This window comes from Homo sapiens, chromosome 7 (genome assembly GCF_000001405.40).
Source record: "Homo sapiens chromosome 7, GRCh38.p14 Primary Assembly".
NCBI lineage: Eukaryota > Metazoa > Chordata > Mammalia > Primates > Hominidae > Homo > Homo sapiens.
In genome coordinates this window covers 36,440,549-36,454,406 of record NC_000007.14, presented here as the reverse complement: position 1 = coordinate 36,454,406, position 13,858 = coordinate 36,440,549, and the positions used below count along the sequence as shown (strand labels likewise).

At 37.4% G+C, this 13,858-nt stretch overlaps 1 protein-coding gene across 9 annotated transcripts in view; it reads right to left on the bottom strand.

Moving 5' to 3' along the window:
- The window catches only part of ANLN (anillin, actin binding protein), a 63,930-nt gene continuing 50,687 nt past the window's right edge, over nucleotides 616-13,858 (bottom strand). For all 9 annotated transcript variants that reach the window (XM_006715746.3, NM_018685.5, XM_017012354.3 and 6 more), the window contains 3 exons: nucleotides 10,545-10,652; nucleotides 4,570-4,742; nucleotides 616-1,930 (listed from right to left, as the gene is read on the bottom strand). In XM_006715746.3, coding sequence (XP_006715809.1) covers nucleotides 1,807-1,930; nucleotides 4,570-4,742; nucleotides 10,545-10,652 — 405 coding nt within the window. In that variant the 3' untranslated portion in view covers nucleotides 616-1,806. The remainder of the gene's footprint in view (nucleotides 1,931-4,569; nucleotides 4,743-10,544; nucleotides 10,653-13,858) is intronic.

Below are 13,858 nucleotides of genomic sequence, written 5' to 3'. Positions count from 1 at the left end.
ACTATCTATATATTTAGATGATCTCTAAGGAATACTGTTATACTTTTTGTTTAACTTACAATAAATGGTATGTATAGAATATTTTTATGAACAGAAGAATATAAATATTTGTATGCAATATGTGTAGTGGCCTCTGGCAGGACATAAACATTGGTAAAAGTAGTTATGACAGTAGGAAAAGACTTGCTTTTTAACTTTACCTTCTTTATGCATTCTGAATTTTGTACCAAGCTTTTGTGCCCTTTAATGCCTACTCAAAAATAAATGCAAGTCTATAAATAAATACAAGGGACCTTCTTATCAGTCCCATCAAACCTATTCCCTGTTTGGCTGATGATATCACTCATCCATTCAGTATCTGCTAAAGACTTGGGAATTATACTCCCTATCCTCAAATGCACATCCAATTACCATATTCAGTTGAAATGCCTCAGAAATAGATCCTTCATTCACTTATGCATTCAATAGCAGCCCTAAGAACACACAATAAGCCAAACTGGGTAGAGAGAAAAAGATGGATGAGACATTGTCAGCACAGTACCCTCAAGAAGCTCCCAGCCCAGGGATGCAGAGCAACCATGCCACACATTGAAACAGTGCTTCCTAAACAACTGATTCCTTTAGACATTTACAGGTATTTATTTGAGTAAGAGCTCATAAAATATATTTTTATAATATGCACAAGAAAAAATACATTTGAATGAATAAAAAATAAAATGACAGGAGGTGACAGAATTTAGTGTTTATAAATGAGGTCATAAAGAACTTTAATAATTCAGAGAAGAAGTTCAAAGTGTATTTAAAAGTTGAGACCCTGCTTTACAATATTTTATAATTTTAAAAAAAGGCGTTTAAAGGTGATAGGTGACTTAATAATTTTCCACTTTCAAAATGGGTTTCTAGACACTGTTGTTCATGAACCAAAAACAAACAAACAAACAAACAACAACAAAACCCAAACACTTTGGCAAGCAAAGTATTATTAGTACATAGCAGCTTCATAACAGTTTACTTTTTTAATATAAAGATTTTTCAATTTACACTTGTAGGAGTAGAAAAAACTAATATGCTAAGTCTGTAAGCTACGCAGCAAAAATAATGATCTTAATGAAGCCAGAATTCTGTGAAAATGTGCACCACACTGCATATATAGTAGCTGAGTAAATGTAAACCATGTGCTTATTAACTCTTCTATATAAAATATTGAACCCCCAAGTCTCACACATTGCCTCCTATGTCCACATCACTTTTCTGAAGACAGCCTCATGCTTTAAGCCAATATATATTTGCTATTTGAAAAAGTTCTCATCCTCATTACTAAAAATGTTTCTGTAAAGGCCTTAGACATTTTTTTCAGTACCCTAGTAACAAGTCATATCACGATCAATAAATGATCACAGCCTTTCGAAAAAACTACTGAGATTGGAGAATGGGTTTCTGTCTCCAACCCCTGAAAGACGTTGCTGCTTCAAGACCTACAGCTCCAAGAAGACAACTCAGAATTTCTTACTTTTAAAAAAATATTGTCATGAATAACTGAATAATTAGATTTCTAGGAAAATGAGGCTTTTAAATTAAGATTTAGCAAAATCAACTATAATGTATTTACTTCTACTCATTGATGAATGACAGAAATCAGTTAAAGTTTTACATACAAAAGATATAAATACTGCATAATACGTAGTGAATATTGGCACAAACCCTTTCGTACTTAAAGCATAAAATGCAATCAGTAAATCTGATGCTCTTAAGTGTGTTTCTTAAGATGACATCAAAAACCTCTAGATAGCATGGAAATTTCCCGGTTTAAGGCTTTCCAATAGGTTTGTAGCAAGCATCAGGTTGCCAGAGGCGAATATCAACAAGAACTTGATTGAGTTTTTGCATCCAGAGATCCCGCTCTTCTTTAGTATCTGCAGACAGCCAGTTCCTACAGGAACAAACAACCAAAGAGGTCAGAATTCTTCTCCCTCCATTCCATACCCCCATGTACTCTTGCTAGGGAAAAAAATGACTAAATAAACCAGTAAATGAATTACCTTTAACCACCTTTTATGGATGCTAATCCACAGCCACTTAGTGAGGTGCATCTCCAAATAAAACAGAGGAAAATTATCCCCAGTTTGGTTAATTGATGCTAACTTACACTAATTACACTTGGTAAAGGATGGTGTTTCCAACAGGTGTTTTATACAGGTAGTGTGCGGCCTGGGTAACCTGATGGTATAGGACACCCACTGAGTGTGGGCAACTTCTCTGCAAGAGCACCTAAGGCCTGATTATAGGCACTCCCTGAATATGGGCACTCCCAATATAACCTTCAGAGTCAGGTTCTCCAAAAGCTGCAATCACAGACCCATGGACCTTCACCTGGCTCTACAGGTAATATTAGTTTGCACTGTGTCCCATTAGATTTGTCCTACTATATTAGTAGAACATGATTTTAAAATAAACTATCAAAAGATCCTAAGACTTTGTCTATCCTAACCTCTCTGTCCATATTAGGAATATTTTCCTTTCATCCATATTTAGCTACAAGTTGACTAAATAACTAGTTGATGGGGCAGGCCAGAGTAAGGAAGGGGGGATTCCCTACCTCATAGCCAGAACATGCTTCCAGAGAACAGCCAGCCATTAGGTTTTTATATTGCACTCATTCTACAACTTTTTAAGTTCTCCCCATTGGTACTAGAAATGGTGTAAACATGAATAAGTGAAGTTTACCACCTTCTGGTAGTCAATGAAGAAAATACTGCACTTATAATAGCCACCACTTGTTAAGCTCATTCCATGTACTGGAAACTGTGCTAAGTGTGTTTACTCATTCATCTCTGTTGTCTGAAGTCTCTGTGAACCTATTCTGGTTCAAGAGGCTAATAAAAATAAAAAAAATCTCTAGTCACTGTGGAGGTTATTTTTCCTTTTTGACACAAAAGATTTCAGAGGGCCAGCAAAGTTAAGTGACCTGCCATGGTTACATTTGATGAGTCAGGATTTAAACTTAAGTCCGTTGACTTCAAAGCTCCACTGTAACTACTGCCTCCCCATGTGATAAAACATTCTGGTTTCAATGTGTAGTCTCTATTTTGAAGTATGCAGTAGAGATCAGAAGAAAAATCTTTAGCATTGACAACAAGCTTAGTTAGTAGAAATGAAAATGAGGTACATTAAATTCAAGTAAAAGGCCTAAGTCCAAAAGGCCCAAGGCCCCGTAAGGAAACACATCAGTGAGGCAAAGGAGAATGCAGAACTGCAGAATGTTTATATTCTCACCATCAAAAAAGTAAAATAAATTTTAGGTCACCAAGCAAAGCTGAAGACTCAGCCAAGACTGAATTGAGAATGTACTACTCTCATATGCTTGGGCGAAGGGTACCCATCCAAGTTATAATTTTATAGTGAGAAAGACTACAAGTACATGAGGTACAGAGTAATTAAAGCAACATGTAATCTGCTATTTTTATCACAGGGGAAGGTCTACGGAGAAGTCTAAGAGAGTTTACGCAACCAGTAAAAAATAAGGTTATACAAAAAAATGTAAGTGATATTCAAAATGGCTGAAGTGGGCCGCTGTGGTCAGGAACTATTTGGATACTGCACTTTGGTTGGTTCCTCCACTGACCGTGACCATGGACACGTCGCTATCAAACAAAATGATTAGAAATCCATTTTGCCTGTCCTGCCCTGTCTGATTCCACCACTGCATAGAAGGCCCCTGAAATAATTGAGTTAAAATGAATAAATCTGGAAGTAATCTAGACATCAAAAATTTCCATCAAATGAGTCCTCTATCTAGCTATTTTAAAACAAATCGGCAGTCTCTGGGCAACTTTGTTCTATTTTAGTATTGTGTCTCCTGGCTGTAGCTTTCTAATATTTTCACATTAGAAACTCATAAAGCTAGTCCTACCAATCTCCCCCCATCTGCAATATCCAGCAACAGCCTAATTACCAAACATCTTATCAAATTCTAACTTTTGTCCCTAATGACAACTCTGTACACTGAAGTTGGTCTTCAAGCTTCTCTTAGGCATCCAAGCAAAGAAACCTATCTTAGAATCCTAGCAATAAGCCTTCGTATCTTACACTTGAGATCAGGGTTAATTAAAAAAGGGGCACTCCCAAAAGTTTTATTCTGTTAATCTCCATCCAGAAATTTGCAGAATAGAATGAGATTGTTTCTGTGAGTCATCTGATTACACGAGGGTATTCTGGGAATGGAAGGAAGGGATGTGTAAAGTCTCTTTGAATAATGCTTGACTCCTCAACTACGCATGAAATCTTTAAACTTAACCCAAAGATTATTATCTAACTGCCATGAAAATGCCTCCACTGTGAGCATACTGGAAAACATTAGCTAAGATACAACCTGAGTATTATACTTTCCTTAACTACATTAATTTAGTTATTATAGATGGTTCACTTACTGCTTTGTGTGTGTTTTGTTTTCTCACTAAGGCTGTGCCCTTTTCAACGTCAAGGACCATCTGTGATATTTCTCATAGTGGTAAGTACATAGTGGGCAATCAATTGCTTAGTTGATAGAAATATTTATAGGCCAATACATACTTGGTAACACAGAGTGTGTCCCTGCATTGGCTGACAAGAGTCTCTCGGTCATCTTCTCTTTGTGGTCGGACAGTAATTAATTCAAAAGTGTTGCGTCTTGCACAAAATTCTCTGTTGGCTGGTTCTATCTGACGACTGGTACAATTAGCCAGATTTATCCTTCCTATGGGATTCTTTAAAAACAAATTAAGAGAAATTAGTAGAAAATAAGACTATTTAAGTCAGTAAGCATTAAGCAGCATTTAAGTTGGTACAAATTAAATATTAAAAAGCTATTATTTAAAAGTTAAAATTTAGTTACACTGGGCTTAGAGAAACATATTTAACATTTATTATTGTTCCTAGCTAGACATAAAAATAAAACCCAAAAATATCAACTGGTAGCTCTTGCCAACTATCCTATAAAGCTCTTTATTATGGTGAACTTCAAATAAAAAATACAAACAACAGTATAATGAGCCCCAGGTACCAAAACCAGCTATAACAATGAGAAACACACTCAAGTGCCTTTTATCTACAACTTACCCACTTCTCCCCTTTCTATAAAAGGAAACCTAGACATTGGATTTCATGTGTAAATATTTCTTTATATATCTATGAAAGATAAGGGCAGACAACTGCCCTGGATTGTTGGCAGCCATGAATTCCTATGATACGAGTCAAAGTGGAGGAAAACATTCACGAGACCAAATGGTCCTGAAAATGGGAAAAGAAACACATATAGGCACACATGAGCCAACAGCCAATAAGTGTGTCAACTCTATTAGAATTTTTAAAAATAAAAATAGAACATACCAATTTAAAACCTTAGATTGGCTAAGTCTGGAAAAAACAGTAACAACCTCTGTTGATTGGTTAGGGAGTGAGTAATACAGTTTCTTATGCATCACTGGTGAAAGTATAATATGATCTATTACTCGTAGGCAACCTGATAACAGTAATCAAAAACCATTAACAATGAGCATTTTCTGATCCTACAGTTTCACCTAAATTTATCCGAAGCAAATATATAAATATGCACACACAGATTCTAATATGTGTAGTCACTGTTTTTTCATAATAGCAAAAAATTCCAAACAAATTCAATGACAGTAATAGGGGACTATTTAAATAAATCATGGTATTGTTTCCAGCAAATATGATACATTAAATAGTCTGAAAATCCTCCCATTATATAAGCCGCCAAATGCTAGATAATTAAATTGACAAGAAAGTAGAAAAATCCTTCAAAGGCCAAAATCAATGAGCAAGGGAGAATGAAGAATAGTAAGCTAGTCTGAAACCCTGACTTCCCTTGGGGCATTTGCCAACACTTAAGACCTGCAACCTAGAAATGACAGAATATAAATTCTGGTATTTGCTTTAAAACACCCTAGCAAAGCAACAAAACAAAACAAAAATGCATGTGTGTTGTGGGGAGATAAATGAAACCTGAAAACGAATAATTAATTAAGCTGAAAGTTCATTATACTATTTTTGCTTTGTGTACATTTGAACATTTTCAACTGTAAAATGCAAAACAGGGCTGGGTGCAGTGACTCATGCCTGTAATATCAACACTTCAGGAGGTGGAGGCAGGCGGATACCTTTGAGCTCAGTAGTTTGAGACCAGCCTGGCCAACATGGTGAAACCCCATCTCTACTGAAAATACAAAAACTAGCCGTGCGTGGTGGCGCTTGCCTGTAGTCCCAGCTACTCGGGAGGCTGAGGCAGAGAATCGCTTGAGCCCAGGAGGCAAAGGTTGCAGTGAGCCGAGATCGTGCCACTGCACTCCAGCCTGGGCAACAGAGCGAGACCCTGTCTCAAAAAAAAAGAAAAGAAAAAAGTGAAACATATATGTATATATATTTCCATGAGGTGATGGCAGGGGGTGTGTGTGTGTGCAGCAGTGTATGGAAAAAGCAAGGACCAAGAATAGTCATACAGTAGCCCCCCACTTATCCATGGTTTCACTTTCCATAGCTTCAATTACCCACAGTCCACCATAGTTGAAAAATATTAAAAGAAAAATTCTAGAAACAAACTATTCGTAAGTTTTAAACTGCATGCCATTCTAAGCAGCATGATGTAATCTCCTGCCATCGCACCTGGCATGTGGATCCTCCCTTTGTCCAGCGTATCCACGCCTTACCTGCTACCTGCTCAGTAGTCACTTAGTAGCGTTCTGAGTTATAGGATCAACTGAGATCAAGACCATCCTGGCTAACACGGTGAAACCCCGTCTCTACTAAAAAAATACAAAAAATTAGCCGGGAATGGTGGCGGGCACCTGTAGTCCCAGCTACTCGGGAGGCTAAGGCAGGAGAATGGCGTGAACCCGGGAGGCGGTGCTTGCAGTGAGCCGAGATCCCGCGACTGCACTCCAGCCTGGGCGACAGAGCGAGACTCCGTCTCAGAAAAAAAAAAAAAAAAAAAAAAAGATCAACTGCTGTAGTATGCAGTGCTTGTGTTCAAGTAGCCCCTATCTGACTTAATAAGGTCCCCAAAGTGCAAGAGTAGATATGCAAAGACAAACCATAAAGTGCTTCCTTTAAGTGAAAAGGTGAAAGTCTTCAACTTAATAAGGAGAGAAAAAAAATCGTATGCTGAGGTTGTCAAGATCTACAGTAAGAATAAATCTTCTATCCATGAAATTGTGAGGAAAGAAAAAGAAATTCATGCTAGTTTCGTTGTCACATCTCCAACTGCAAAAGTTACCACCACAGTAAATGGTAAGTGCTTAATTAAAATACAAAAGGCATTAAATTTGTGGGTGTAAGACATCAACAGAAACGTGTTATGACTGATGGCAAGTGGGTCTGGTACTTATCTATGGTTTCATGCATTCACTGGCGGTCTTGGAACGCGTCCACTAAGGATAAGGGGGAACTACTATACATTACTCCATAAGTTAGGAGACTGGCCTTAGCAGACATTAAGATTTATTTTAAAGCTACGGTCATTGAGATTGGGATAGGGAAACAGACCAAAGGAAACAGAACCGTGAGCCTAAAAATAAACCTACACATATAATGACATCTTGATACACATGAGAAATGGCATTGTGGATCAGTGAATGATACAGTTTTGATATTTGTCTTCACCCAGATCTCATGTTGAATTGTAATCCCCAGTGTTGGAGGTGGGGCCTACTGGGAGGTGACTGGATCATGCAGGCGGATTTCTCAAGAAATCCCCTTGGTGCTGTCCTCACAATAGTGAATGAGTTCTCGCATGAACTGATTGTTTAAAAATGTTTGGCACCTCCCCTTGCTCACTTGCTCGCTCGCTCGCTCCTGCTTTTACCATGTGATGTACCTGCTCCCACTTCATCTTTTGCTGTGAGTAAAAGCGCCCTGAGGCCTCCCCAGAAGCTAAGCAGATGCCAGCATCATGCTTCCAGTACAGCCTGCAGAATCAGGAGCCAATTTAAAAATTACCCAGTCTTGGGTATTTCTTCATAGCAATGCAAGAATGGCCTAACACAGTGGGGAAAGAACAAACCATTCAATGATGCTGGCCCAATTGGTTATTCAGATGAAAAAAAAAATCAATTCTAGGGAAATTAAATGTGAAGTATAAAACTCTATAACTTTAGAAAGAGGTATAAAAGAAATCTTTGACTCCAGGATAAGGATAGTTTCTTAAATTAGACCCTAAAAAGCACAAAGCAATAGACTAGCAGGTCTGATTACCTTAACATTAGAAAAGTCTGTGCATGAAAAGACACTATAAAGATAAATTAAAAGATACGCCAGGCCTAAGACTAGGGAAATATAATTGCAATGCATCAAAAAATATTAAAATGAATAATATAGAGACAATCAGTTCATACGAGAGAAAATATAAATGGCCATACACACTCTTATGCTTAGAAAAGATACTTAGTCTAGTAATCAAGAAGATACAAAATTTTTTTAAATAAGAGTATATTTCACATCTATCATACTGATGGAAGTTTAAAAGGCTGACATATGATGTATTGGTGGGAATATGAAAAGCTGAGAACTTTCAAATACTCCTGGTGGGAATGGAAAATCGTACAACCACTTTTGAGACTCATTTGACAAAATCAAGTTGTAGATGTGCAAACCCTACAACCCAGCAATTCTGCTACTAGGTAACATTCAAAAAAGAACTCTCATCCATGTGTACAAGAAACTAAATCTTCCTGCATGTGGGCTGTAAAAGGTACAAACCAAAACAAAATGAGAAGAAAGTGAATCACAGCAGCATTGTCTGTATACAACAATTTAGAAATAATCTAAGGGTCTCTAAACAGGAGAATGGATAAATTGTAATGTGCTCTTACAAAAGTATACTATACAGAGAAGAGGGGACAATCTAAAGCTACACATACCACCCCAGACAAATTTCACAAACCATACTGACCCAAAAAAGGCAAGTTGCAGAATAATACATACAATATGTTATTATCTGTATAATGTTTAAAAACATGCAATTGCAGCAACATATATTGTTTATATACATGTACAGGTTAAACATCCAAAATCTGAAAATCTTGAAATCTGAAATGCTCCAAAATCCAAAACTTTTTGAGAGTCAACATGATGCTCAAAGGAAATGCTCATTGGAGCATCTCAGATTTTGAATTTTTGGATTAGGAGATAATTAATTGGCACGTATAATGCAAATATTCCAAAATCTGAAAAAAAAAAAAAAAAAAAAAAAAAAAGAATCCCAAATCTGAAACGCCTCTAAATCCCAAGGATTATGAATAAGGGATATTCAATCTGTATAATAAAAATTTAAATAAGTGCATGGGAACAATAAACAATTTTAGGGTAGAAGTTATCTCTGCGGGAGAGAGAATTACATGGGGAGCTTCAACTGGAATAATAACACAGAGGTTGATGAAATTATTTTACGCCCTTTTGGATGTCTCAAACATTTCACAAATTTTTAAAATATTAATAATTGTAATGACTACAGTGTAACACACATAGCTATCCAACACAGCATTAGACTTATCTTTACTGATGCTGAAAGATGTTAGAATATTTTATCAAGTAAAAAATCAGATTATAAAAAGCATGCTTTTCCTTTTAAAAAGATTCATAAATGAATAATTATTATATATTATACATTTTAAAAGTTTGAAAACATATCTAACCAAAATATGAACAATAGCTATGTCTATTATGGATGATTTTCCTTTTTAATTCTGCTTATTTCTATTTTCCAGTTTGGGGATAATAAATAATGTTACTTGGGCAATGATATTAACTTCTTTAAAAACATGATATATTACACAAAATCCTATTATTAAATTTTAGAAACAAAATACAAACCACTGTTCCTGTGGGTGGGTTTCCATTACTGTTTTACCCTAACTAACAAGATAAAAAATTAAATTTAAAACATTTCCAACTTCAAATGTCAACAAAAAATATAATTAAACATCCAGTAGAAAAGAAGGAAAAATATACATGTTAAGGTATTTTAAGAGTGGTCAAATCATAGGGAATGGATAGGATATAAAAATTTTAAAGGATTATCACACACACACACACACACCTACAACAAAAACATTTTTTTTTTTTTTTTGAGATGGAGTCTTGCTCTGTCGCTCAGGCTGGAGTGCCGTGGCGTGATCTCGGCTCACTGCAACCTTGGTCTCCTGGATCCAAGAGATTCTCCTGCCTCAGCCTCCTGAGTAGCTGGGATTACAGGCACCTGCCACCACACCCAGCTAATTTTTGTATTTTTAGCAGAGACAGGATTTCGCCATGTTGGCCAGGCTGGTCTCGAACTCCTGACCTCAGGTGATCTGCCCGCCTTGGCCTCCCAAAGTGCTGGGATTATAGGCGTAAGCCACTGCGCCTGGCCAACAAGAACATTTTTAATGGCTTAGTGAGTACACAAAAAGGGTTATTAATTTGGGTGAGTGATGGGGGCCAGAGGGAACATTTGCATGAACACTACACGAAAGTCAATCAGGGCTTTCACCACTAAACAGTACTATATAAATTACCTTGCGTTTCTCATCATCTGGATAAGTCCAATAAGATATACAGTTTCCAGAAAGAACACACCATCTTCGATGCCAGGCACCAAAACCACTAACATCTTCAAATATGGTCTGGAAAAGTCAGTTGAAATGCTGGCTTTAGAAAGTTGAGGAAAATGTCCTAACAATGAAATGCTGATTCTGTACACTAACTGTAGTATGTTGACATATTTCATATCTCAAAACCTATTTGTATGTTTTTTTATCATGTCTTTTATCTTAATAATAAAAATCACTGATTATTCATATCAGAAATTTACTTCAACATCATCTACAAGCATTTAAAAACATTCAGATATCAACCCTAAATTAAATACCTCTACCTACTTTAAGACTTTTAAAAAGTATAGTGTCCCTAATCAAATGCTCCTTAAACAACAGAAATGCCTCAAGTGTTGGAGAATTAATAATACAAAATTACCATACCTTATATATTTTAAAAAATTAATGATAACATATTAAGTTAAACCTATCTTAATATGCAAGACTGGCATTTAATCTTTATTCAGGAGATCAAGTTTTCTAACAGGATTAGAAAAGAGTTAACTTATGATCATAAGCCTTGGTCAATAACCATGATAAACATCAAAACTCCAAGCCCACTGCTGGGCCGTGAGACACGCTTGAAGTGGTGCCTCCCTGCCATCAGGCGTTTGTCCTTAGGGATGCTAGCTATATGCTAAAGGTAGGCAAGGCAGTAGTGCTGGATAGAAACAGGGCTCCAGAATAGGCAACTAATAACATCTGGTTTTGTTCCACGGAAGCACTTCCACTTAAACAGGGTAAGTAGAAGCTAAGAGTTTTTCCCCCACTATTTTTTAGTTATAGTCATAACAGAGCCCTAATCTATATAGAAGCCCTCACTTTTAATTTAAAAAAAAAAACAACAAACAAAAAGGCCAGGCGCAGTGGCTCACACCTGTAATCCCAGCACTTTGGGAGGCCGAGGCGGGCGGATCACGAGGTCAGGAGATCGAGACCGTCCTGGCTAACACAGTGAAATCCCATCTCTACTAAAAATACAAAAATTAGCCAGGCGTGGCGGTGAGCATCTGTAGTCTCAGCTACTCAGGAGGCTGAGGCAGGAGAATGGCGTGAACCCGGGAGATGGAGCTTACAGTGAGCCAAGATCACGTCACTGCATTCCAGCCTGGGTGACAGAGTGAGACTCCGTCTCAAAAAAATATATAAAAATATAAATAAATAAAAATTAAAAAAAACAACATTCATCTGGGAACTTCTGTGTTAAAGAACAAAGCAAGGTAAAAACATAACAATGCTGTAGATCAGGGAAACCTTTTCTATAAGGGCCAGAGAGTAAATATTTTAGACTTTGGGCCATACGGTCCCTGCCACAGCTACTCAGCTCAGCTGCTGTGGCACAGAAGCAGTCACAGATGCTAAGTAAGCAGATCAGCCTATGTTCCAATCAAAGACTATAAAAACAGTCAGTGAGGGCTGCTGTGCTGCCCTCTGATACAGATGATCCAAAGGCATCTTTGCGTTTGATTTTAGATTACCTTCATATTCCAACTTTACTTCTCTGATTGTTGAGAAGCTAAGAATAAACTAGTATTACTTGGTTGTTGCTGTGAGGAACCATTCTAAGCATATCTTTAAATTATCTCAACTACTCCTCTAAGTATTTTTAAATTATCTCAACTAGTCCTTACTCCAACCCTATGACAATAGGATATACACTCTTCTCAATTCACTGTTTTATGTAAATTTCCCAAAAGGTGGCTTGAATCAAGAGTCTAATTTCTGGCCATGACGTGTGGGAGCAAATGTTACCAAGCTAGATTGACACCTCAGATTAATTGGCTTGCTCCAACCATATGCTCTCCTGCCTCACCTTTTTCCTCCTCCCCTAATCCTTCCATTTTCCTCCCAAAGCAGCCTTTTTCTAGGCAACACTGCTTACAGCTCCCCAAGGAAGAAAGAAAGGAATGTCGTTATTTCAATCTCAAGCATGAAAGTTAACACAAATCACTCACCAGCTCCCTCCTGTGTTAACGTTCACCTTTTACATCATAAAGGTAATAAACAGACAAGGTAACTTTTGATAAACAAGATTAACACCAGCTATTATGACATCATACTATAATCAGAGAGGAATAAGAAAAGGACGGCCTTTTCATTTCTATAGCTGAGGAAACAGAGGGCCAAGGAAATTAAGTGACATCACACAGACCACAAAAATTGAACCTTCTGGCTGCCAATCCAGAGCGCCTGCCTCTTGCTGCTCCTCAGTGGAGGCAGAGCTAGCCCGGCACCCTGTCAGAACCACTTACCTGTCTCTTTGGTTGGAGTCGCCCTCCTCCAGGGCAGCCCTGGCACATCAGGAAAGGAAGCTGAGCTGAGGAGCTTACATTTCCATTACTACCTCTAATTTTTTATAGGGGGTAGAGGCAATTAAAATGCAATGTTTAGGCAGAGGACAGAAGTTATGTCGGGGAATCCAGAGCTCTTTCTTACTACATTTTTGTAAGTGTGAATGTGAGAAGAATGGGCTACAGGATTCAAGACAGAGTAAACTTGAAGAGATCTAACAAGCTCGTTAAGAGCCCATCTAAAAAACTAATTAGGTGAGACGTTATATGCAAATGGACCAGCTATCTTAACAGAGCCTATCCATTGCTAAAGGCATCAACAATAAAATATAAAAATGTTTACATGAAAAGAAAAGGTCATTAGGCAAATACTGCCTTCAAGTCAGAAATTTACACTCTTCCAAGACTATCTAGTGCCACCTGCTGGATTTATATGTGATAAAACCTAATAAGGAAGGAAAAAATACTGTTAATAAGTAGCAATTCCCAATCCTTGGGAAGTTGGCTACAGTTACTTAGACCACCGGGCTTTCCTTAATATCTAGCTCTTCTTTCTGAACCTTTGACAGCAGTTACAAACTGACTTGTAACATCCCTTGCATCATTCAAGTTCTTGCTTCACAGAGAACACCAAAGCAAGTGGATTTTCTCTACTTCTTGTACCATACTCACAATCTTCTATGCATTCTACACACATACTTTCCTCCTCTGATAATGAGAAAACTGTAAATTCTGTATCAAATAAATCCTGTGAATTGTGGCTTGGGCTTAATTCTTCCCATTCTCATGACCTTGCTCTATGAATTACCCCATAAGCCCTAGATCAGGTCCTCCATGGCCTCTATCTTCAATCTCTTTGGCCCTATTAGAAGCTACCCATCTACATTTAAAGCCGCTTACGTCTCTCCCATCTTAACAAAATGTTGACAAAATCCTCCTTTCACC